Source organism: Homo sapiens, chromosome 6 (assembly GCF_000001405.40).
Source record: "Homo sapiens chromosome 6, GRCh38.p14 Primary Assembly".
Classification (NCBI taxonomy): Eukaryota; Metazoa; Chordata; class Mammalia; order Primates; family Hominidae; genus Homo; species Homo sapiens.
In genome coordinates this window covers 99,368,337-99,395,101 of record NC_000006.12, presented here as the reverse complement: position 1 = coordinate 99,395,101, position 26,765 = coordinate 99,368,337, and the positions used below count along the sequence as shown (strand labels likewise).

The 26,765-nt window shown below is 39.5% G+C and overlaps 1 protein-coding gene across 6 annotated transcripts, besides 1 other annotated feature; it reads left to right on the top strand.

Moving 5' to 3' along the window:
• The first annotated feature begins 906 nt into the window (after nucleotides 1-906).
• Nucleotides 907-25,701, top strand: COQ3 (coenzyme Q3, methyltransferase). Of its 6 annotated transcripts, XM_006715500.4 has the most exons (8): nucleotides 907-1,028; nucleotides 11,278-11,404; nucleotides 11,972-12,094; nucleotides 14,761-14,913; nucleotides 17,617-17,716; nucleotides 18,920-19,162; nucleotides 23,515-23,674; nucleotides 25,282-25,701. In XM_006715500.4, exons 1-8 carry the CDS (start codon nucleotides 923-925, stop codon nucleotides 25,500-25,502), a joined length of 1,233 nt encoding a protein of 410 aa, XP_006715563.1. In that variant the 5' UTR covers nucleotides 907-922; the 3' UTR covers nucleotides 25,503-25,701. The 6 variants fall into 6 exon arrangements, with proteins under 6 accessions (XP_006715563.1, NP_059117.3, XP_011534200.1 ...); NM_017421.4 differs by lacking the exon at nucleotides 11,972-12,094; XM_011535898.3 differs by lacking the exon at nucleotides 18,920-19,162.
• Nucleotides 1,012-1,651: an enhancer, noted in NCBI's record as "H3K27ac hESC enhancer chr6:99841327-99841966 (GRCh37/hg19 assembly coordinates)". NCBI's record gives its function as "activates a minimal SCP1, AML or CMV promoter by ChIP-STARR-seq in primed H9 embryonic stem cells {active_cell/tissue: H9 hESC(primed)}" and the evidence as "EXISTENCE:reporter gene assay evidence [ECO:0000049][PMID:30033119]".
• Nucleotides 25,702-26,765: the final 1,064 nt, after the last annotated feature.

The following is a 26,765-nucleotide window of genomic DNA, read 5'->3' as shown; positions in this document are numbered from 1 at the left end:
CAATTTGACCCTACCTGTTGAAAATACAGAATAATTTTTTGTCTTCAATGTTGGAGATTCGTCATTGTTCTTACCCAAAGAAAGACTTTGTGCATTTAGACGTAAAATGTTACTGATCACTGTTCCTAGCTCTAAATGAAGTTTGCCTAGACTGAGCCACAGAAGCCTCCTACTACATGATGTATATACCCTGTACAAGATAATAGTCATTTGCAGAAAATAAGTTTTACATTTGGCCTTCTGGCCATCTGATATTTGAGTGCCTTGAAAGGGGAAACAATTCTTCCCTTGAGGAAGAAGTGCTCCCATACTCTTGCATTCTTAGCAGTAGGGTCAATGTCTTACAGGAATATAAAAGTCCTTGAAGAGACATCTGTTAAGTGTGAAATAGAGCTACATGGCAATAAAAGAAGACACAGCACGAAGTAATGGCCTGATTGAGGTCAACTTCGAACATGAGGTTTGAGGTGTCCTATAGCAATAAAGTATCTTCAAAGTTGTTTATGATAGTAAAAACATCTTGCAGTTTAATTCCATGTGCAATTTGCTAAATGAGCGTGAAAGTATAGCCATACATACATAACACTCAACAATACAATCATGAAAGTCGGCTGCAGGCCGGGCGCGGTGGCTCACGCCTGTAATCCCAGCCCTTTGGGAGGCCAAGGCGGGCGGATAACCTGAGGTCAGGAGTTCGAGACCAGCCAACATGGAGAATCGCTTGAACCCGGGCGGCGGAGATTGCAGTGATCCCAGAATCCGAGATGGGGACTGTACTCCAGCCTGGGCAACAGAACAGACTCTGCTAAAAAAAAAAAAAAAAAAAAAAGTCGGCTGCAGACGGCGAAAGTGATCTCGGAACCTTTATGTTGGGGATCTTTTTTCGGGAGGGACCGGAAAAGAGGTGGGATCGTTTGTCGCGATGTGGAGTGGCCGTAAGCTGGGCTCCTCCGGGGGTTGGTTTTTAAGAGTGCTGGGGCCTGGAGGCTGTAATACAAAAGCTGCGCGTCCCTTAATTTCCTCGGCGGGTGAGTGTGTGTGCGGAGGTCCTTCGCATGCAGTCAATTGCGAGCGCTGGCGTCTCTGCGCATGCGCCGGGGGTGGGGCGGTGGGTTGTCTCTGGACCTCGCGAGGGGTCAGCGCGAAACCTAAGGCTTGGTCCTGGCCCCATCTCTCTCCATTGTAAACCTCGCATAGTCCCGTTGGCGGACGCCGGGGAAAAGAGCTCAGGACCAGTGGTCCTGTCTGGAAAAGCGCAGGCCGCGGGTCTCTTGTGGCTGAGCTCCTTGCCCCAGGAGCCGGCGACCCGCTCTGCGTGTGCTGCAGTCTGAAGGTCATGCATCTTTCCTTTGCCGGGGCAGGAATAACTCACGCCTCGTAGTTATGCATAGCTTTGTATCTGTGTTTTGTTTGCACAAAGCTTGCTGTTTTTTTCAGAAAGAATTTAAGGCAGCTGTATTACTTTTTGATTAATAGGTTAATCCAACAGACTGCATTTGCAAATGAGATCAAGAAAATAATGCACTGCTCAGTGCTTGTAGACAGCAGTCTGATTTTCGAACTCTCAGTATTAAGTAGAAACTTAAGCTCATCTTTCACATGGAACTCTTAACAAATACTGTATGCCAGACACTGGTATGAGCACTGGGAATTTAAAAATGAATGACACCGCAAGGATCTCTTTAAAAATGTTAGGATAAACCTAAGATCAGGATATAATGAACAAAAAAATGGGGAATCTAACCGCCCATTAATAAAGGTTATTAGTTGGTACTATCATACAGTGAAAAATAGTACAGCCAATAAAAATGATTTAAATCTATTTGTACCCACATGGAAAAGTAGTAAGATATAGTGTTAAGAAAGTAAAGTTTCATTGTTTCCTGGAAGGAGCCAAAAAAAAAAAAAAGTTACAAATCAGTATGTATAGTGAACTTGGAGTTACAGGTGGAGATATATAGAGAAATTTTGCAGTGATTGCCTGTGGTAGAGTAGGTGATTTTCTATCATTTTATCCTTTATATACTTTTCTTTTTCTGAACTTTTTTTAGTAAACATGTGTCTTTTATAATCAAAAATTTAGAAAAGATATAATAAACCTAGTTCCAATTTTTGAGGGGTGAACATAGAAGGAGCATTTAATCCATATTTGGGATCAAGGAAACTTCTTGAATGGGATATTTAGAGAAATCTTGAAGGAGGTGGCCAGTTTTAGAAGCAGTTGGTCGAGACAGGCAGCTCACTTGAGGTCAAGTGTTCGAGACCAGCCTGGCCAACATGGTGAAACCCTATCTACTAAAAATACAAAATTAGCTGGGCGTGGCGGCAGGCGCCTGTAATCCCAGCTACTCGGGAGGCTGAGGCAGGAGAATCGCTTGAACCTGGGAGGCAGAGGTTGCAGTAAGCCAAGATCACACCATTGCACTCCAGCCTGAGCAACAGAGTGAGACTCTGTCTCAAAAAAAAAAAAAAGCAGTTGGAGAGGGGAAAGGACCAGCTCGAGAATCTGTGAGAAAGTTTGTGAGAAACTGCAAGGTTCCTTGAAAAGTAAAGTGTGTAGGTGGAGGGCAGAAGGTAAAGGCAGGGGGTGGCAAGGGATGAGGAAGAGGCCTTTTTGGCCATGACACATTCATGAAAGGCCATTTACACCTCCTGAGGTAGACTATCCCGCGGACAGTGGAAATCACTGAAGAAGCAACATGAACAGATTTATGTTTAAGAAATAACACTTGGCAGCTGTCTACATAGAATGTGGGATGGAGTCAGGCAAGTCTAGGCCCAGGAAGACCTTAGAGCAATCCAGACAGTAAATTATCATTGCTGGAAATAAAGTATTGGTAGGGTAAAAGTCTGTCACCTGTTTTATTCACCATCAGCATGGTGCCTGGTAGGTGCTGAATAAATGACTTTTCAATAAATAAAATGAAAAAAACCTTTTCCCATTCCTTTAAAATTTCAAATACCAGGATGATCACAGATTCAAGGTAGAGAAGGAATTGGTAGCATTCTGTTTAAATACAAACTCAATTACTCTCTTTCCGTTGTGGTAAGGTGGTAGAGTGGTTTTTATTTTTACTTTTTAGATTAATTAATTTTTTTTTTTGAGAAAAGGTCTTGCTCTGTATCCCAGGTTAGAGTGCAGTGGCATGACCACAGTTCACGGCAGCCTTGGCCTCCCTGGCTCAATTGGTCCTCCCACCTCAGCCTCCCAAGTAGCTGGGACTACAGGCAGGCACCACAATGCATGGCTAATTTTTATATTTTTAGTAGAGAAGGGGTTTCACCACATTGTCCAGGCTGGTCTTGAACTCCTGGGCTCAAGCAGGCCGCCCACCTTGGTCTCCCAAAGTGATGGGATTACAGGCATTGAGCCACTGCGTCTGGCCTAAGATGATTTTTAAACCTCTTGAGAATTGTAGCAATACTGATGACTTAGGGATTCATTTTCCAGAAATAGAGGAGGTAAGAGAGAGATCAAGGGTTGTCTGTCCGTAAAAGCAGATATTGTTAAAATTTCTAAGGCTTAGTTTCATAATAGTAATACCTTATATGTCGTTATCGATGTATCATGGTTTACATAGTTAAACTTTATTCTTTAATAATATCTCATGTATCTACCTAAAGTCATACAGGAGGTGATATTTGAACTGGGTCTTAAAAGGTAGTCCAGATAGAGTTGGTGGAAAGGGAAATAAAATGAACAAAAGCCTGGCCGAGCACCTTTAATCCCGGCACTTTGGGAGGTCGAGGCAGGTGGATCGCTTGAGCTCAGGAGTTTGAAACCAGCCTGGGCAACATAGCAAAACCCTGTCTCTACAAAAAAAAAAATACAAAATTTAGCCAGGCATGGTGGTGTGCTTCTGTGGACCTCGCTACTGGATAGGCTAAGGTAGGAGGATTACTTGAGCCCAGGAGGTAGAGGCTACAGTGAGCCGTGAACCCACCACTGCACTCCAGCCTGGGCAACACAACGAGACCCTGTCTCATAAATAAATAAATAAATAAATAAATAAATAAATAAATAAAATGAGCAAAAGCCTAGACACATGAACTTTATTAAAAAAGAACATTGTAATGGGTTTGGGATGGACTGTGAAGGGCTGATTAAAAAATAAAACCAAATAAACATAAGCTCAGGAGAAAAGTATGCAGAGACTACAAAAAGACAAGATGTGAAATATAAATGACCACTAAACATAAGAAAGGATGCTTAACCTCATTCATGATAAATTGAAACTACATTAACTGGGCACGGGGCCCATGTTTATAGTGCCAGCTACTCGAGGGGCTGAGGTGGGAGGATCGCTTGGGTGACCTTGGTGGAGGTTGTAGTGAGTGGAGATTGTTCCACTGCAGTCCAGCCCGGGTGACACAGTGAGACCCTGTCTCAAAAACAAAAACAAACAATTAAAACTACACTAAGATACCATTTTCATGTATTTGATTAGCAAACATAAAAATGTTTAACAAAGACTGGGCGCGTGGCTCACGCCTGTAGTCCCAGCACTTTGGGAGGCCGAGGCGGGTGGATCATGAGGTCAGGAGATCAAGACCATCCTGGCTAACACGGTGAAACCCGTCTCTACTAAAAATCCAAAAAATTAGCCAGGCGTGGTGGCGGGCACCTGTAGTCCCAGCTACTCGGGAGGCTGAGGCAGGAGAATGGCGTGAACCCGGGAGGCAGAACTTGTAGTGAGCTGAGATCTCGCCACTGCACTCCAGCCTGGGCGACAGAGCAAGACTCCGTCTCAAAAAAAAAAAAAAAAAGTTTAACATTGTATGGGTGACAGTGTGGGAAAACCAACAAGAGACACTCTCATAGATTACCGATAGGATAGTAAATTGGTTCAACATCTATTTAGTGGCAATTACAGATTTACAAATGCACGTACCCTTTGACATCATTCTTGAGATTTTACCTACAGGGACTCTGAAACACATATGAAATGAAATAACCTATGTAATTTAATCTCTAGTTGTTGTCGTTTTGAGACGGAGTCTCACTCTTTCGCCCAGGCTGGAGTGCGGTGGCGTGATCTTGCCCACTGCAATCTCCACCTCCCGGGTTCAAGTGATTCTTGTGCCCCAGCCTCCCAAGTAACTGGGACTACAGGCGCACCCCACCACGCCTGGCTAATTTTTGTATTTTTAGTAGAGACGGGCTAATGCCATGTTGGCCAGCCTGGTCTCAAACTCCTGACCTCAAGTGATCCGCCCACCTCAGCCTCCCAAACCGCTGGGATTATAGGCATGAGCCACCACACCCGGCCCTAATCTCATAGTTTTGATAATTACCCAAATGCTCATTATTAGGGAACTGCTTAAATAAATAATATAGCCATACAATGAATTATCACACAGCCTTTTAAAAAATATGAAATAATTTCCAAGATATGTTGGTAGGTGAAGAGAAACATTCAGAATGAGTGTATTGTGCTACATTTTATATAAAATGAGAGAAACTGATACTTTAAAATGATTGCATATGTATAAAATGCCTCTGGAATCTTACATACAAATCTAGTAGGATTGGTTGTTTATAGGGAGAGAAACTAGATAGCTACAGTCAGGGCTGGGAGAGATACTTTGTACTGTACCCTTTTGTACTTTTTGATTTTTTAAATTTTTTATTTTGAAATAATTTAAGACACAAGAAGTGGCAAAAATAGCACAGAGAGGCTGGGTGCGGTGGCTCACGTCTGTATTCCCAACACTTTGGGAGGCTGAGGCGGGCAGATCACTTGAGGTCAGGAGTTTGAGATCAGGCGGGTCAACATGGCGAAAGCCTGTCTCTACTAAAAATACAAAAAGTTAGCCGGGCATGGTGGCGTGTGCACCTGTAGTCCCAGTTACTTGGGAGGCTGAGCTGGATAATCACTTGAAACTGGGAGGCAGAGATTGCAGTGAGCTGAGATCATGCCTCTGCAGTCCAATTTGGGCGACAGAGTGAGAGACCCTATTCCCCCCAAAAACAAAACAAAACAAAAACCCCAAACACACAGAGAGAATTTCCATGTACTATTCACCCAGTTCCTTGGTGATACCATCCATAGTACATTGTTGAAGCCAGGAAATCAACTTTAGTATGATAATTGACTCCACTACAGACCTTATTTGGTTTTTGCCAACTGTACATGCACTCATTGTGGGAGAGAGTGAGGATGTGGGTGTGTGTGTGTGTGTGTGTGTGTGTGTGTGTGTGTGTGTGTGCGTGTATACATTAGTGTTTTATTTATTTACTTATTTAGTTTTTGAGATGGAGTTTCGCTCTTGTCACCCATACTGGAGTGTAATGGTGCGATCTTGGCTCACTGCAACCTCTGCCTCCTGGGTTCAAACAATTCTCCTGCCTCAGCCTCCTGAGTAGCTCGTATTACAGGTTCCCACCACCACACCTGGCTAATTTTTTTATTTTTAGTAGAGACGGAGTTTCACCATGTTGGCCAGACTAGTCTCAACCTCCTGACTTCAAGTGATCCACCTGCCTCAATCTCCCAAAGTGCTGGGATTACAGGCATAAGCCACCGCGCCAGGCCTATTTTGCCTTTCCATATAAATTTTAAAATCAGCATGTCTGTGTCTATCAAAAAAAAAAGGCTATTGAGATTTTGATAGGAATTGTATTAAATGTGTAGGACAATTTGGGGAGAACTGATCTTTTTACTATGTTGAATTTTCCAATATGTCTCACGTTTATTCTTTGATTTCTTTCATCAGTGTTGTGTAATTTTAAGCATATAGATTCTGTACATGTTTTTGTTTGATTTATGCAACAATGAATTTTTTTGAAATGATTTAAAATGATAAAGTATTTTACATTTTGAATTTTGCCTTCCACTTGTTCATTGTTAATATATAGAAACAAGACTGACTTTTTTGTGTTGCCTTTGTAATCTTTGAGCTTTCTTTTTTTATTTTATTTTATTTTATTTTTTTGGAGATGGAGTTTCGCTTTTGTTGCCCAGGCTGGAGTGCAATGGTGCGACCTCTGCTCACCGCAACCTCCGCCTCCTGGGTTCAAGCAATTCTCCTGCCTCAGCCTCCCGAGTAGCTGGGATTACAGGCATGTGCCACTATGCCCGGCTAATTTTGTATTTTTAGTAGAGACAGGGTTTCTCCATGTTGGTCAGGCTGGTCTCGAACTCCCAACCTCGGGTGATCCACCCGCCTCGGCCTCCCAAAGTGCTGGGATTACAGGTGTGAGCCACTGTGCGGCCTGTAATCTTTGACCTTTCTGAATTCACTTATTATTTCCAGGAGCTTTTTAAAGATTTCTTGGTATTTTCTACATAGACAATAGGGACAGTTTAATTTCTTTCTTAACATTCTATATATCTTTTATTTCCTTTTCTTGCCTCATTGCACTGAATAAGACTTTCAGTACAATGTTGAATAACAGTAGTGAGAATGGATGTGTTTACCTTGTTTCTGATTTTAGGGGGAAAGGGCTTAGTCTTTCATCATAAAGTACTATGTGAGCTATAGGTTTTTATAGCTGTTTTGTAAGATAATTTCCCTTTCATTCTTAGTTTGCCAAAAGTTTTTAATCATAATGGATATGGATTTTGTTAAATGCTTTGTCTGTATCAATCAACATGATTATGTTTGGTATTTGTTTTGTTTTGGTTTTTGGTTTTCATTTGTTTGTTTTTTGAGACAGTGTTGCTCTGTACCCTAGGCTGGAGTGCAGCGGTGCAATCATGGCTCACTGCAGCCTCTACCTCTCAGGCTCAAACAGTCTTCCCATCTCAATCCCCTTAGTAGCAAGGACCATGGGTGCACACCACTATACCTGGCTAATTTTTTAAGTTTTTCTGTAGAGATAGGGTCTCACCATGTTGCCCAGACTTGTCTCAAACTCCTGGGCTCAAACAATCTTGACTCTTCAGCCTCCCAAAGTGCTGGAACTACAGGTGTGAGCCACCCTGCCTGGTGTATTTCTCTTTTTTATTGTTAATATGGTCGATTATATTAACTGCTTTTTAACATTGAACTAGTGTTGCATACCTGGAATAAATCTCACTTGGTTGTGCTGTATTCTTCTATTTGTATGTTGCTGAATTATATTGTGGTAATATTTGCTAAGAATTTTTGTGTCTGTTCCTGAGAGGAATTGGTCTGTAGTCTTTGCTGTACTCTTTGATTTTTGTATCAGAGTAATGTTGGCTTCATAAAATGGCCTGGGAAGTATTCCTTACCCTTCTATTTTTTTAAGAGATTAAGTAGAATTGGTTGTTATCTCTTTAAGTGTTTGGTAGAATTCACCAGCGAAGCCATCCGAGACTGGAGATTTGTTTTTCAGGCTTCTAACTATGAATCCAATTTCTTTAGTAGTTATCAGTTATTCAGGCTCTCTATATGAATTTTGGTAGTTTGTGGTTTTTATGGAATTAGTCCATTTTGTCTAAATTGTAGAATTTCTGAGTGTAGAGTTATGTGTAGTATTCCCTTATCAACCTTTTAATGTCTATCAGAGCTATAGTGATATCCTTTCTTTATTTCTTGATATTGGTGATTTACATCTTTTCTTTGTCAGCCTTGCTAGAGGCTTATCAATTTTATTGATTTTTGCGGTGAATTAACTTCAGGTTTGATGTATTTTCTCCGGCTTTGTTTTGTTTACAATGTCATTGATTTTCATTTTTATTTATTTATTTGTTTATTCATTTTTTGAGACAGAGTCTCACTCTGTCACCCAGGCTGGAGTGCAGAGGAGCCATCTCGGCTCACTGCAACCTCTGCCTCCCAGGTTCAAGCAATTCTTGTGCCTCAGCCTCCAGAGTTACTGGAATTACAGGCATGTGCCACCATGCCTGGCTAATTTTTGTATTTTTAGCAGAGATAGGCTTCTATCATGTTGACCAGCCTGGTCTCGAACTCCTGACCTCAAGTGATCCACTTGCCTTGGCCTCCCGAAGCTCTGGGTTTACAGATGTGAGCCCCCTCACCCGGCTGATTTCTATTTTTTATCATTTTCTGATTTCTGCTTGCTTGCTTGCTTTGTGTTTATTTTGCTCACCTTTTTCTAGTTCTTGAGGTCGAAACTTAGATTGTTGATTCGAGGCCTTTCTTCCTTTTCTTTTTTCTTTTCTTTTCTTTTTTCTTTTCTTTTTTTTTTTTTTTTTGAGACAGAGTCTTCCTCCATTACCCAGGTGGGAGTGCAGTGGCGCAATCTTGGCTCACTGCAACCTCCATCTCCCAGGTTCAAGCGATTCTTCTGCCTCAGCCTCCCGGGTAGCTGGGACTACAGGTGTGTACCACCATCCCCAGCTAATTTTTGTATTTTTAGTAGAGACAGGGTTTTACCATGTTGGCCAGGCTGGTCTTGAACTCCTGACCTCATGTGATCTGCCTGCCTCGGCCTCCCAAAGTGCCCAAAGTGCTGGGATTACAGGTGTGAGCCACCATTCCTGGCCCTTTCTTCCTTTTCAATATGATTATTTTAGTGATATAAATTGACCTCTCAGTGCTCCTTTAGCTATATCTGCTGATTTTTATATGTAGTACATTTATTTTCATTTACTTCAATTTTTAAAATATCCCTGAGACTTGTCTTTGACTTATGGATTGTTTAGAAGTGTGTTGTTTAATTTCCAAGTGTTTTGCTTTTTACCGTTATTTTTCTATTATTTATTTGATCTTATTACATTCAAAACTATAGTTTGTGTGATTTCACTTAAAGTTATGAAGATTTGTTTTGTGTCCCAGGATATGGTCTATCTTTATGAATGTTCCATGCATGCTTGAAAGAATGTATATTTTGTTGTTTGGGGGAAGTGTTTCACACATTTTAAGTAGATTTTATTGAATAATGGTCTTGTTCTGTTCTTCTTTATCCCTGCTGGTTTTCTATCCAGTGGTTCTATCAATTACTGAGAGAAGAGTGTTGAAGTCTCCAACTTACAATTGTGGATTTGTTTATTTCTCATTTCATTTCTGTGAGTCTTTATGTGTTTTGAAATTCTGTTGTTGGTATGTACACATGTTTTTTGAGGCACAGTCTTGCTCTGTCGCCCAGGCTGGAGTACAGTGGCTTGATCTCAGCTCACTGCAGCCTCTGCCTCCCGGGTTCCAGTGATTCTCCTGCCTCAGCCTCCTGGGTAGCTGGGATTACAGGCACATGCCACCATGCCTGGCTAATTTTTGTATTTTTAGTGGAGACAGTGTTTCACCATGTTCACCAGGCTGGTCTTGAACTCATGACCTCAGGTGATCTGCTTGCTTCAGCCTCCGAAAGTGCTGGGATTACAAGCGTGAGCCACTGCGCCTTGCTGGTGCATACACATTTAGTATTGCTTTTTCTTCTTGGTGGATTATCCCTTTTATTGTGATGTAATGCCCCTCTTTGTTTCTGGTACTTTCTTTGCTCTAAAGTCTACTTTGTCTGAATGTTTATTGAACAACTGAGTGTTCTGCAACACAGCTGCTGGCTCATAAAGCAGGCCCCTGTGTAAGTTGAGCATATAGACTGGGTGAATGTTTATTTTAGGTTTTATATATACACATACATTTTTTTTCCTCTGTAAAGGGTATTGAGCATATGCAAAAATTCATTTCATGTAGCTAATATGGAATTGACAGAATTTGAAATAGTTTTGACAAATAATTTCAGAATTAATATTATCCTAGTTTAAAACATAACACTTTATATTTGAATATCATTCCTGTCATTTTATGTACATAATGTAGATGTAAAAACTAATGGCATGAAAAACTTTATAAACAGATGCATTACTTGTTTTGGCTAATTACAATTTTAGAAATGTCTGGGTTAGAGTTAGATACCAGAATGTAAGACCTTTATTTTATTTTATTTTTTAGGTAAAATCTTAAATTAAGTAAAAAACAAACAAAAACCCTTTGTTTATCAATTGTAATGTAACAGTATTACCATATAAAATAAAATTTTGTCCAGGCCCAGTAAATCCCAGCACTTTGGAAGGTTGAGACAGGAGTATCCCTTGAGCCCAGGAGTTTCAGACCCAGCCTGAGCAACATAGAGAGACCCCATCTCAACAACAATAACAACAAAAATGAGCTGGGCCTGGTGGCCTGCGCTTGTAGTCCCCGCTACTTGGGAAGCTGAGGCGGGAGGATTGCTTGAGCCCAGGAGGTGGAGGCTACAGTGAGCCATGATTGTGCCATTACACTCCAACCTGGGTGGCAGAGCAAGACTATAAAATAAATAATAAAATAAAATAGAATCTTCAATTACATGCATATCAGGGATTCTTACTGTGCAAAGCTTTTCTCTAGATATTTAATTTTTTTTTTCAGTTTATGTGAAGAACCAGCTCAGTGGGACTCTACAGATTAAACCAGGGGTTTTCAATGAATACAGAACCATATGGTTCAAATCCTACAGGACGATCTTTTCCTGTTTGAACAGAATAAAGAGTTTCAGGTGGGTTTATTATTACTGTGGCAAATATTCACGTAATTATATGTAATAGGTTTTTAGTATTATCTTTAATAAACCCAGTCAGTATGTAATAGTCCATGTGTCTTGATTAAAGTAGCTTGTGTTTATTTAAGTAGTCTCAACTAATTTATTTTCTAACAATTTTTAAATTTGGGGAGTTTCAAACCCACAGAAACGGTAATAGAATAATACAGTATATAGACAATAAACAACCTTCATTCAGATTCAGAGATAGCTTTTGTTTTCAATATAAGGCTATTACTTAGAGAAGAATTTTTATTTCCTCATAATGTCCTTATGACAAGACACAAACAATGCAGTGCTTAAAATCATAAATATTACTTATAATACCTAATACAATATTTTAAAATTTTTAGAAATCATAAGTGATTTGGGTGCTGCATAAATATGATAAGGTGGCTAAGGTAGCAAAATTGATTGAAGGTAATATCTTTCTGTATTTGTATTTTATAAGCCAACTTTTAACCTTGTGAAAATATTGCACAGCATTAATACTTGAACTCTGTTTTTTGTTGTTGTTGTTTTGAGGTGGAGTTTCACTTCTGTTGCCCAGGCTGGAGTACAATGGTGCGATCTTGGCTCACTGCAACCTCCACCTCCCGGGTTCAAGCGATTCTCCTGCCTGAGCCTCCCGAGTCATTGGGATTACAGGTGCCCGCCACCACAGCCAGCTAATTTTTTTTTCTTTTTTTCTTTTTTTTTTTGTGACAAGAGTTTCACTCTTGTTGCCCAGGCTGGAGTGCAAAGGCACGATCTCGGCTCACTGCAACTTCCGCCTTCCAGGTTCAAGCACTTCTCCTGCCTCAGTCTCCTGAGTAGCTGGGATTACAGGCATGCACCACCACACCCGGCTAATTTTGTATTTTTAGTAGAGAAGGGGTTTCACCATGTTGGCTAGGCTGGTCTTGAACTCCTGATCTCAGGTGATCCACCCACCTCAGCCTCCCAAAGTGCTGGGATTACAGGCATGAGCCACCGCGCCCAGCCTTGAACTCTGTTTTCTAAGTGCTTGTTCCTCCTTGTAAATGAGCCCCTTTGAGTTTGGGTTTATATGAAATCATTCTTAGTCAAATGAGCAACCACCTACTGTTACCTATTGTAAATTAGTCCTTGATTACTGAGGCTTTGCATTAAGCATGGACAAGGGGGCTAATATTCCTAAGATAATATTAATATTAAAGAGGAATGACACTTGAATCTTAAAAGAATAAAAAGTAATGAATATAGAATATGCTCTCTTTATGTGGCTAAAAACAAACTTAATAAAAATGTGAATGGCATTACCTTTTCTAAGTTAACATCCTTACTATGTTTTACCTGAGCAGCCCTTTGAAGGATTTTTCTATACTATATGCTTCTACATGGAAGTCAGTGTAGTGTCTATCTAATCCCTCTTTACTCCTGTTTGATCCCATTTAATTAAATAAAATTTTAGGCAAATTATATACTTTCCTGGGCTTTTTCCTTCAGATTATTCATTTGCCAAGTGCTTCCTGAGCACCATGTTCCAGGAACTGTACTAGTCACTAAGAATAAAATGGTAAGGAAGACAGTCCATGCCTTGCCTTCATAGTGCTTGTGGTCTAGTGGAAGACAGACATGATCGATCAGATAATCACATAGCCCCATGAAGAAGTACAAAGTGGTATAGGAGCTAAAATAGGGGGACAGGGGATGAGGGGAACATGACCCAGTTTTGAGGATCAAGGAAGATTCTTTTTTTTTTTTTTTTTGAGACAGAGTCTTGCTCTTTCACCCAGGCTGGAGTGCAGTGGCATGATCTCAGCTCACTGTAGCCTCCACCTCCCTGCTTCAAGCAATTCTCGTGCCTCAGCCTCCCAAGTAGCTGAGATTATAGGCACCTGCCACCACACCTGGCTAATTTTTGTATTTTTAGTAGAGACTGGGTTTCACCATGTTGGCCAGGCTGATCTGGAACTCCTGACCTCAGGTGATCCACCTGCCTCAGCCTTCCAAAATGCTGCGATTACAGACGTCAGCCACCACATGCAGCAGATCAGGGAAGATTCTTAGATAACATTCCATTGAAACTAAGATCTGAAGGATGAGAAGGAATCAATTAGGTGTTTGGGAAAGGAAAGGAAGGATGTGGGAAGAATGTTCCAGGCAGAGGGGACAACCTATTTGAAGTGCCTGAGGAAAGAGCATGCATGGCCAGTCCAAAGAACTGAAAAAGGACCCATGTGGTTGGAGTGGGAAGGATGAGGAGAATAGAAGGAAGTGAGTTTGGAAAGGGAGAAAACTGGGAACTAAATAATTCAGAACTTTGTAAACTATGCTAAGGATTTTGGTCTTTTTTCTAATGGCACTGGGAAGATATGGAAGCATTTTATTCAGGAAAATAACAATCAAATTTGTATTTTGGAACAATCACTCTAGATGCATCATGGAGAACAGATTGGAAAGGGATGAGGTAGGAATCAGCTACCAGTTAGAAGGCTAGGACACTAGTTCAGGCAAGAGATGATGGGTGCTTGCGTTAGAATTATGGCAGTAGAAATGGAGCAGAGAAGATGGAGGCACCTGTGCTCAAATCCCAGCTCTACAATTTACTTAATCTCTCTGAGCCTCCCTTTTCTTATCTGTAAAATAGGGATAATAATAATACCCACCTTGCAGAGTTGTTGGAAGGATTAAGTGAGGTAATATATGTGGAGCTCTTAAACAATACCTGGAATTTAATAAGTGCTCAATAAATGGTAGCTATTATTATTATTTATTTATTTATTTTGAGACAGAGTCTCACTCTGTCGCCGAGGCTGGAGTGCAGTGGCTCAATCTCTACTCACTGCAACCTCCACCTCCCGGATTCAAGCGATTCTCCTGCCTCAGCCTCCTGAGTAGCTGGGATTAGAGGTACCCACTACCATGCCCAGCTAATTTTTATATTTTTAGTAGAGACAGGGTTTCACTAAGTTGGTCAGGCTGGTGACCTCTTGATCTGCCCCTTTCGGCCTCCCAAAGTGCTGGGATTACAGATGTGAGCCACTGCACCCTGCCAGCTATTAGTATTGTTATTGTTATTATTATTAGATATGACCCAGAAGGCTAAGTTTTATAAAGTTCTGTTTTGAATTGAAACTTACTTGAAAAGTAATTTTGTTTCGTCTGTGAATAGATGTATTTATATGCAGTGTGATTATAAGAAAACTTGGTTTTAAAGCATCAATATTGAGCAGTATACAGATTTAGAATATAATAAATTGTAAATAAGACTATCTTTCTACATAATATCCCATGTTAAACATTTCTTCAAAACAGCAGTATTTGCTTGGTTCTTCATTTTCACCTTTTAGGTACCCTTGGGCGAGACTGTACAGTACTTCCCAAACCACTGTCGACAGCGGTGAGGTAAAAACCTTCTTGGCCCTGGCTCACAAATGGTGGGATGAACAAGGAGTATATGCACCTCTTCATTCCATGAATGACCTGAGGGTGCCATTTATTAGGTAACACTCCAGAAACTCTAAGTCTTTTTAAATGGAACTTTTTAAGAATTCATATTTCACATTCATTTTTTTCTTAGTTTATACCTAGTTAAAAAATGCTGCACATTAAGTTTGCTTTGGAAATTAGGGAGATTCTTTTCAATTACCACTGTTTGAAACCATTAATTTTTAATAATATCATGCAAGGTCAAGGCTGCTTTCATAGCTTAATTTGAAGCCTATTTGTATATTATCAAGTTAATTATAATTAAGTTCTTATAAAAGCAAACTAGGGTCTTATGGCATCAAGGCCATTTTATTTATTTTATTATTTATTTAATTATTTTTTTTTTTGAGATGGAGTCTTGCTCTTGTCACCCAGAGGGGAGTGCAATGTCACCGTCTTGATTCACTCCAACCTCCACCTCCTGGTTTCAAGCGATTCTCCTGCCTCAGCCTCCTGAGTAGTTGGGATTACAGGCATCTGCCACCATGCCCAGCTAATTTTTGTATTTTTAGTAGAGACAGGGTTTCACTATGTTGGCCAGGCTGATCTCAAGCTCCTGACCTTAGGTGATCTGCCTGTCTCAGCCTCTCCAAGTGCTGGGATTACAGGCATGAGCTACCGTGCCTGGCCCAAGGCCATTTTATAACTACAGACCTACAGTGGCATCATTGACTTAGGCAGTTCTGGTAAAGTTTGATTCAACAAATTTTTTTGAGAACTTACCTCATACAGAGCTCAGGGGCTAGACTGTAAAAGACTCTAAGATGAATGAAACATAATCTTTGTGCTTCGGGAACTTATAGGTTGCTGTGGAAGTTAAAGAAAGGCAAGAGTACATCAGGGCTTACATTTAAGAAAACTGGACACCATTCTCACTTAACGTGAGAATTCTCACTTAACGTGATGAATTAGAAAAGCATCCAAATTGTTTATCCCTTTAAAAATATTTTTTATCAGTGAGTTGCAAAACTGTTTCTTAAAACGTATTTCTAGGTAAGTAATTTCTGAAAGGCTCCAACCATTAAGATTTAGTATGAGGGGCGAGGGATAGCATTAGGAGATATACCTAATGCTAAATGACGAGTTAATGGGTGCAGCACACCAACATGGCACATGTATACACATGTAACAAACCTGCACGGTGTGCACATGTACCCTAAAACTTAAAGTATAATAATAATAAAATAAAATAAAATAAAAAATAAAGGGAACTGCAAGGGAGCAGCTACAAGCAAAATGTAAAAAAAAAAAAAAGAAAGAAATTGTTCATTTGTTCCTCTGTCCATTTATGTATTCATCAAACAATTTTGGGCAAAGCACTGTAACAGACACAGAATATCTGACTCAGACTTTGCCCTCAAGGAACTTCCTGGTTGGTTTTTGCTGGTTCATCCAGAATTAGTATACCAAAAAGAGAAATACTGACATCCTTTAATACCACTGACAAAGCAAAGCAAAGAAAAACAGAAATGTCATTCTTGTAAGCTAGAACACTGGGTCTCAAAGTGTAGGCCCTGGACAGTGACATTAGTTCACCTAGGAGCTCATTAGAAATGCAAATTATCACGTCTCATCAGGGACCTACTGCTCTGGGGAGGGGTCAGCACTCCATTTTAAGCAAACTTTACGTGATTCTGATGTATACTAAGTTTGGGAATTACTCTGTTCAAACTACGAGACACCTTTAACTAGAGATCACACATAATAACCCAGGGCAGTGCAAGCTATGGTTAAAGTTTAGATTTTATTTTGAGCATAATTAGAACCCATCGAAGGAAAGTGATATGATCTAAATTATGATGTAAAGGAGTCATTTTAGCTGTGGTTTAAACAATGGATCGACTTCATTTGAAATGGGTCTTTTCTGTATGTTATAACTTTCCAAAATGATCTACTTAACCACTATCCATGTTATTCTTAGAATTCAATTAACTTTAATGGCAATAGAAGATATCTTAAGATATCCTCATTATGAATAATATTTATTTTAATATAAGTATAATTAAAATTTATACATAGTCCTCTCTCTCTCTCTCTCTCTCTAAATATATATATATATATATATATATATATATATATATATATATATATATATATGTTTAGTTTACAATACTGTTAGGTGTATATATACTTGTGTGTATATGTGTGTATACATATGTTTGTATAGGTAAAGTATTAACCGTGATTATCTTAGAAGTAAGTTTACTTGATTTAGATGCCTGTTTACATGCTCATACATGAAAACACCACTCATTTAGAAGATTAAAAGAAATTTTATTTTGAAGGGAATATAGACAAATTCTGAAAATATAGGTCTCCCATCTGCTTTTTCTAAGCTCTATAAAATAACCTATTTGCTGCTGACATGAAATGGGTCTAGCAAGTATTGACAGCAAAGCCAAAACGTGTGTCATGATATCTCAAGCAATTGAAATTAGGTTAATCTAGATTATTTTGAAATTTTTTCTTTATATTATTACTAAAACAATAATTAAGTCATAATTACTACTAGATTATTTCAGACCTTTAAGCATCCTGCTTTTGATTATTGAAAATGTTTTATAAATTAAATGTCAATGTTGAAAGATCTATTTATAAAAAAAATGAATAATTTATTTAAATGGAGGTTAATATTTCCTTGAAAACTACACACTTTGTGACTTTTCGTTGATAAAATTAATTATTTGTTTTGGTATGTTTTGAATTTTTTAAAAAAGGGACAATCTTCTGAAAACAATTCCTAATCACCAGCCAGGAAAACCTTTGTTGGGGATGAAGATTCTTGACGTTGGCTGTGGTGGTGGGCTGTTAACTGAAGTAAGTGACAGCTTTCCTGCCATTTTTAACTGGGAGAAAAAAATTAAGAAGTAGACTTGTGCCTCATTTATTCTTTCAACAAATAATATTATTCATTAAAAAAAGAAATGCATGTTGGGAGGCCAGGGTGGGTGGATCACCTGAGGTCTGGAGATCGAGACCAGCCTGACCAACATGGCGAAACCCTGTCTCTACTAAAAATACAAAAATTAGCCAGGTGTGGTGGCGGGCACCTGTAATCCCAGCTACTCGGGAGGCTGAGGCAGGAGAATCGCTTGAACCCGGGAGGCAGAGGTTGCAGTGAGCTGAGATTGAGCCACTGCACTCCAGCCTGGGCAACAGAGAGAGACTCTGTCACACATACACACACACACACACACACACACACACATCCATAATATTGATTTTAATCTTTTTTTTTTGAGACAGAGTTTCACTCTTGTTGCCCAGGCTAGAGTGCAATGGCATGATCTCAGCTCACTGCAACCTCCAACACCCAGGTTCAAGCAATTCTTCTGCCTCAGCCTCCCAACTAGCTGGGATTACGGGCTGCCGCCACCATGCCCAGCTAATTTTTAGTAGAGACAGGGTTTCACCATGTTGGCCAGGTTGGTCTTGAACTCCTGACCTCAGGTGATTCACCCACCTCTGCCTCCCAAAGTGCTGGGATTACAGGCGTGAGCCACCGTGCCTGGCCAACCTGTGTTTAAAAACTTGGGCATGTCATGGGAAATGACTAAATAAAAAAGCTGAGAGAAGAATTAGCTATGAAAAATCATTTCTAGTCAGAGAAAAAAACTTTTGAGAAAAGATTGTTCTTTAGAAAATTTGAATATTTCAGAAATGATTGCTGTTTTTTCAATGGCTTGTTACATTTATTGCACTTTAAATATGTTAATACTGTACTATGTGCAAGTAAGTGTATCTAGAGTACATAGACAAAGTTTTTTTCACTGTCTTCAAGTAGTTTTTTATCAGTTTTTTGTTGTTTTCATTGTTCTTCTTAACTTTAAGGGTTTGATTATGGAAAATTTCAAATGTGTACAAACTAGAGAAAATGGTATATGAGTTTCCATGTACCCATAAATGATGTCCAGTATTTATCACCTCATGGTTAATCTTGTTTCATTTTTGATAAGCTTTTTATTGCTAACATGTGCTCTATTTTCTTCCTGAGGGTAACAGTTTTTTTAATGCCATTAGCCTCTAGGGCGGCTTGGGGCTTCAGTTATTGGAATCGACCCTGTGGATGAGAACATTAAAACAGCACAATGCCATAAATCATTTGATCCAGTCCTGGATAAGAGAATAGAGTACAGAGTGTGTTCCCTGGAAGAGATTGTGGAAGAGACTGCAGAAACATTTGATGCTGTTGTAGCTTCTGAAGTTGTAGAACATGTGATTGATCTAGAAACATTTTTACAGTGCTGCTGTCAAGTGTTAAAAGTAAGGCTTATGGAGTTTACATCTTGGTTTCTTCTTCTGAGTGTGTGTATTTGTATCTATAGCAATAAAATGGTCCATAATGCATTAGCAGTCCAGCAGGCAAGGTATAGTAGAGAAGAAACCAGGAAGCCTGGATGAGGGGACAGCATCTCTGCTGTAGATTTCTTCTACTCCTCAGCTTGCCCTCAATACCAGGGTCTTCCTGTGTCCTATTAATATCTTGGATGTCCAGGGATCTTGAAAAATGCTGGTGCTGGCTGGATATGGTGGCTTATGCCTGTAATCCCAGCACTTTGGGAGGCCAAGGTGGGCAGATCACTTGAGGCTAGGAGTTGGAGATTAGCCTGGGTAACATGGTGAAACCCCATCTCTACTAAAAATAGAAAAAATTAGCTGGACATGGTGGTGCATGCCTATAATTCCAGATACTCAGGAGACTGAGGTACAAGAATTGCTTGAACCCTGGAGGTGGAGGTTGCAGTGAGGCGAGATCGTGTCACTGCACTCCAGCCTGGGCAACAGAGTGAGACCCTGTCTCAAAAAAAAAAAAAAAGAAAAATATTGGTGCTGAACACGGGAAAACCATACACTTATAGCAGTATTTTTCCACTGGTGCAGTCGGGATTAAATACTTAACAGATATTGAATGACAATTATAAGACATTGATTTGAGGCTGGGCACAGTGGCTCACACCTGTAATCCCAGCACTTTGGGAGGCGGAGGCGGGTGGATCACCTGAGGTTGGGAGTTTGAGACCAGCCTGACCAACATGGAGAAACCCCGTCTCTACTAAAAATACAAATTAGCCAGGCGTGGTGGCGCATGCCTGTAATCCCAGCTACTTGGGAGGGTGAGGCAGGAGAATTGCTTGAACCCGGGAGGCAGAGGTTGCAGTGAGCCGAGATTGTGCCTGGGCAACAAGAGCGAAACTGTCTCAAAAAAAAAAAAAAAAGAAAGAAATTGATTTGGATGAATACTTAAACATCAATAAAAATAATTATTAGCATAAGTTTAATTAAATAACAAGTAATTCTGTACATGGTAAATGCGTAATAGTTTTCAGCTTATAAAAGAATATTTCATAAATGTGATCTCACTTGATCTTACCTACAACTAGATGAGGAAGGAAAGGCAGGTATTGTTATCACATCCTTTCACCTACGAGGACTCAGGATTTATCAGATGTCAGAGGTCTCTAGGCATTTAAGTGGGGCTTAAGGCCAGACCATTTGACTCCAAGTTTGGTTCTCTCCATTACTTACTATGCTTATATAGTATAATTTACAACAGACTTTGTTCTCTGAATGTGGCTGTAAGTTTTCTTTTAATAAATACCCCTAAAGTATTATTATTATTACTATACTGACTCTGTCGTTCACATATTTAGGAGGTGACATCCTAAGGTCAAAAGCTAAAAGAATGAAATGCATAGCTCTTATTGAAATTTTAAGTAATTTTAAATTTATAGCAAAATTGCAAAGATAGTAAGTACAGTGTGCCTTTCACCTGTCTTCCCCTTAGGTTAACATCTCACATCATAAGGGTAGGAACTAGGATGAGTCAAGTGAGACACCTAGGGCACAAAATTGCAGGTGACAGCCCCTCTCAGGTGCTGACCCTGCACTTGCATACCCTGAAAGGGGTTGCCTATTTCAATTCTGTGCCCTAGAAGACTCACTTGCCTCATTATAGTTCTAGCCCTATATATAAACCATGGTACAGTTCTCAAAACTAAGAAATTAACATCAGCATTATACTTATTAACTGCACTACAGAGCTCGTTAAATTTTATTAATTTTTTTTTTTTTTTTTTTTTGCTAATGTCAGTTTGCTGTTACAGGATCCAAACCAGACTTGTACATGTATTTAGTTGTCATTTCTCCTTAGTCTTCTTTAATCTGTGACAGTTTTTTGGTGTTTCCTCTGTTTTTCTTGACAAGGTCTTACTCTGTCACCCAGGCTGGAGTGTACTGGCAAGATCACGGCTCACTGCAGCCATTTCCTGGGCTCAAGCCATGCTCCCATCTCAGCCTCCCAAGTAGCTGGGACCACAGGTGCATGCCACCATATCTAGCTAATTTTAATTTTTAATTTTATATTTTACTTTTTTGTAGAGACAGGGTCTCCCTATGTTGCCCAGGCTGGTCTCAAAATCCTGAGCTCAAGGGATCCTGCCGCTTCAGCCTCCCAAAGTGCTAGGATTACAGGCGTGAGCTACTGTGCCTAGCCCTTGTTTCCTCTTAAGTAGAGTTTTACTAGGCTTATCTCTTATTTTCCAAATAAAACTTCTTAATTGATTGTTAATTCTTATTTTATATGTCAGTGTGTATGAAGGGAGGTTCTTTGACACATATGAGGGATGCTGGCATTGTAGGGTTTAAAACTAATTTTTGCTTTAATGGAAAGCCTATGTTTTAAAAATGACTATTGCTTACCACCATTTCCTTAAAGTACGAGTATGTAGAACACAGATTAGATATTCATAAGTGACTTTTTTTTTTTTTTTCAGAGACAGGATCTTCCTCTGTCACCCAGGCTGGAGTGCAGTGGCACCATCATAGCTCACTAAAACCTCAAACTGCTGGGCTCAAGTGATCCTCCCACCTCAGCTTCCCAAGTAGCTATGTCTACAGGTGCTCAGCACCATGCCTGATAGTTTTTTTAAATAAATTTTTTGTAGAGATGCGGTTCTCGCTATGTTGACCAGGCTTGTCTTGAACTCCTGGTCTCGAGCAATCCTCCTGCCTCAGCACTAGAATTATAGGCATGAGCCACCATGCCTGGCCTAGAAGTGATTCTTAAGATATTTTAGAGTTTGAAGTTGCAATGAGCTATGATCATGCCATTAAAGGGAAAAAAAGATATTTTAGAATACTAGAGCTTTACAGAGGAAAGTTAAAATGTGTGATAATATAGTGTATGATATTTTTGTTTTTAATTTAAAGGCATACTCCAATATTTCAGGGCCCTCTCTTGTCTTTTTTATTTTTGGCATAGAGTGGTATCTAAGATATATTATCTCTTTCTCCTAACTCCCCTTTCTTTCTCGCTTTCTTTCTATATGTCTATAGTAATATGATTATTTTGGAGGGAATCTTTGGCATTTTTCCCTCATCAGGCTAATGAGAATGTTTAAAAGAGAGAGGGGACATTAATATCCTTGCCATTTGTGAGACAATATAGGTAACGCCATAAATATATTTACTATAAAATGACAGACTGAGGCCGGGTGCAGTGGCTCATGCCTGTAATCCCAGCACTTTGGGAGGCCAAGGCAGGTGGATCACAAGGTCAGGAGTTCGAGACCAGCCTGACCAAGATGGTGAAACCCCGTCTCTACTAAAAATACAAACATTAGCCGGGCGTGGTGGCAGGCACCTGTAATCCCAGCTACTTGGGAGGCTGAGGCAGGAGAATCGCTTGAACCCGGGAGGTGGAGGTTGCAGTAAGCTGAGATCATGCCACTGTGCTCTACCCTGGGCGACAGAGCAAGACTGTGTCTCAAAGATAAACTGGCACACTGAATAGTCCTATAAATCCTTTGCATTCATCCTGGTGCTCATGTTGTTCTCTTTATATAAATATATATCACTGCAACCTCCACCTCCTGTGTTCAAGTGATTCTCCTGCCTCAGCCTCCTGAGTAGCTGGGAATACAGGCACTCACCACGATGCCCAGCTGATTTTTATATTTTTAGTAGAGACGGGGGTTTCGCCATGTTGGCCAGTCTGGTCTCAAACTCCTGATCTCAAGTGATCTGCCCGCCTTAGCCTCTCAAAGTGCTGGGAATACAGTTTGTAAGTCACCACGGCCGGCCACTCTTTATATTTTTTATAAAAATGAAATAAAAACAAAAAATGTTCAAACCTAATCATTAATGTTTTAGTGAGAAAACACTTATTGGTAGTACTTCCCTGCACAAGATGTATAGCTCTGTGCTGTAACAAACGAGTTAAGACAGGCTCAGCACTTACAATGAAAACCATTTTGACATATGTTAGAATGTGAATGTGGACATGTAACAAGGAAGAGCAGCCTGATCTCATTTTTATTGTAAAGTGTTTGATATGTACAAAAGAATATATAAATATAAATCATAATTATATATGATCTTAAGAGTTGTAAGCACTGTTGTATATACTCACTGAGTACATCTAAAATGCCTTTTATAGTGAATTTCCCAAGAGAAAAAAAATGCTATTTTGGTGAATTATATTTTATGCGTACATATATATTTTAATGGCACTCAGATTATTTGGAAGAAAGGAGGAGGGAGGGGGAAACAGCTTTTACTTAAGTGATACACTTAGTCTTTTACATTTTACTTCTATATAATTTCATTTCTTTTAGCCCGGTGGTTCTTTATTCATTACTACAATCAACAAAACACAACTTTCCTATGCCTTGGGAATTGTTTTTTCAGAGCAAATTGCAAGTATTGTACCAAAAGGTACTCATACATGGGAGAAGTTTGTTTCACCTGAAACACTAGAGAGCATTCTGGAATCAAGTAAGTATTAAGAGAATTTTTTCCAATTTTCCAGGCCTAGCTGAACTTTTAATATGCCAGTAATTATTACGCACTTAGCCTAGCACTTAATAAAATAGGCCACTATGTTTTTGAATGTTGGTTTTATCTTCTCAACTAGGTCATAAACTCATGGAAGCTAGGATTAAGTAGTAGATACCACTTCTCTTTTACCTGTTGCCCCCTAACCCAGGGCCAAGCAGATAACAGATGATCAATGAATACTTTTTGGCTATTTAGTCCTCACTTGTTTAGGAAAGAGATACAAATGTCTGTTATTTACACATTCTCAGTCTGCCTTCTTGAGCCCTGCTTGTATCAGCTTATCTTACATATTATTTTTCCTGATTCCACCACAGTTACATATATTTTGAACTTCAGTATCACTTTTTATGTATTTTATATTACTTACAGCATGACTTTATGGTTATTTTGGTGGTTTTTTTCATCCTTTTATGGCCTGTAAGCTACTTGAAGGCAAGACTATGTCTCCTTTTTGTACTCTCTACAATGCCTAGCTCTGCTTTACACAGAGTGAGCTCTCGATTTATGTGATGAATTCTGGTCAAGTAATAGTGCTTGTCAGTTCATTTATTTGGCATTCGGTATTCCTGTTGAGTACTTAGACTCCTATATTTCTAATGCTTTTTTTTTCATATAAGTCTATCAGTAAACTTGATTTTACTTGGAATATTATTAGTACATAGCCATGTAGTAAATTCTAAAGATTTCTATGAGTAACTTTGTTGAAAATAAAGTAAGGCTGCACGCAGTGGCTCATGCCTCTAATCCCAGCATTTTGGGAGGCCGAGGCAGGCAGATTATTTGAGGTCAGGAGTTCGAGACCAGCCTGGCCAATGTGGTGAAACCCTGTCTCTACTAAAAATACAAAAATTAGCCGGGTGTGGTGGTGCATGCCTGTAATCCCAGCTCCTCGAGAGTCTGAGGCAGGAGAATCACTTGAAATCAGGAGATGGAGGTTGCAGTGAGTCAAGATTGTGCCACTGCACTCCAGCCTGGGCAACAGAGTGAAACTCTGTCTCACAAAAAAAAAAAAAAAAAAAAGTAAAGAAAAGAAAAGAAAGAAAGAAAAGAAAGTAGGAAAAAAATGTTTTAAAGATGTGTTATGGGGACAATCTCCTGTTGGCACATATTTTTTAATAACAGCTAACATTTATTGAGTACTTACCAAACTCCAAGCATTGTGCTAGTTTACACATATAGCTCATCTAATTCTAACAGTTCTATGATACAAGTTCTGTACCTGTAAGAAAACTGAGATTTATAAAGTTAAGTGGCTTGCCCATGGTCACCATGTAATAGGTACCCAAGCTGGGATTTGAATCCAGGCAGACTGCGTTGGAGTATGTGTCCTAATTGCGACTTACTGAAGTTCTGCAGTAAATTGTGATTAGTGCATAGTTACAAAATACGCTTGCCCATTAAGTTAGGAATCCTTTTTTTTTCTTCTTTTCCTATCCATTTAGTGTGCTCTCAGCATTTTTAATATAGAAAGTTGCATGAAACTCTTGGAAATTGGAAGGAAAATATTTATTAAATCTACTCTTTCTGATTTTTTTTTTTTTCAGATGGTCTGTCAGTTCAAACAGTGGTAGGAATGCTCTATAACCCCTTCTCAGGTTACTGGCATTGGAGTGAAAATACCAGCCTTAACTATGCAGCTTATGCTGTGAAATCCAGGGTCCAGGAACACCCAGCCTCTGCTGAGTTTGTTTTAAAGGGAGAAACAGAAGAGCTCCAAGCTAATGCCTGCACCAATCCAGCTGTGCATGAAAAGCTGAAGAAATGAATTGTTTCTGAGAACTATAGTAATATGGCTTGGATATCTGATGTTTTCAAATACAAAAATGTACAATTTATCCTTTGAGAGAGAATCATGAAGAAAAGAAGGTCAATAAAAAGGGCTAAAACCTTGGACAAAAGTTTTTGTTATTTCGTCTAATAGCTACTTTCAAGGGATTCTGTGAATAAAAAGTTTTGTCAAGATATTGCGTGATCTAGGAGTGTAAGTTCCTCAACCTTTGTTGTATAACTAGGGTATGCATATTCATTTCATCGTACAAAAAAATACATATATATATATATTCTGCATGTATACATATACATATGTATATGCTGTAATTTGTTTTTGTTTCAAGATAGGGTCTCACTCTGTTGCCCAGGCTGGATTGTGGTGGCGTGATCATGGCTTACTGCAGCCTCAACCTCCAGGGCTGAAGCAATCTTCACACCTCAGCCTTCTGAGTAGCTGGGACTACAGGCATGCACCACCATGCTTTGCTATTTTTTATTTTTATTTTTATTTTTATTTCTTTTGAGATACAGTCTTGCTCTGTTGTCCCCGAGCTGGAGCGCAGTGGCGCTATCTCATAGCTAGGCTCACTGAAACCTCTGCCTCCCAAGTTCAATCGATTCTCCTGCCTTAGCCTCACAAGTAGCTGGGATTACAGGCACCAGCCACCACGCCCAGCTAATTTTTGTATTTTTAGTAGAGACAGGGTTTCGCCATGTTGGCCAGGCTGGTCTTAAACTCCTGACCTCAGGTGATCCACCCACCTCAGTCACCCAAAGTGCTGGGATTACAGGCATGAGCCACCATGCCTGACCCATAACTCATTTTTTTTTTATACTTTAAGTTCTGGGGTACATGTGCAGAACATGCAGTTTTGTTACCTAAGTATACACATGCCATGGTGGTTTGCTGCACCCATCAACCTGTCACCTACATTAGGTATTTCTCATAATGCTATCCCTCCCCTAGCCCCTAGCCCCCTGAAAGGCCCCAGTGTGTGATGTTCCCCTCCCTGTGTCCATGTGCTATAACTAAATTTTTTAACTGAGTGTTTAAAAAATCCTTTCTACTTAAAAAAAAAGCACCATAAAACATTTAAAGAACTGTATACAGAAGTATGTCAAAATAACCTGAAATTCTTGAATTTAATATTTGAATCCAAATCCAGCATATATTTAACAACTCATTTGCTTTCCAACAAAGTAAAATTTAAAGGAAAAAAAACCATGTTTTATCTTCCCAAATATAAGTGATATGCAG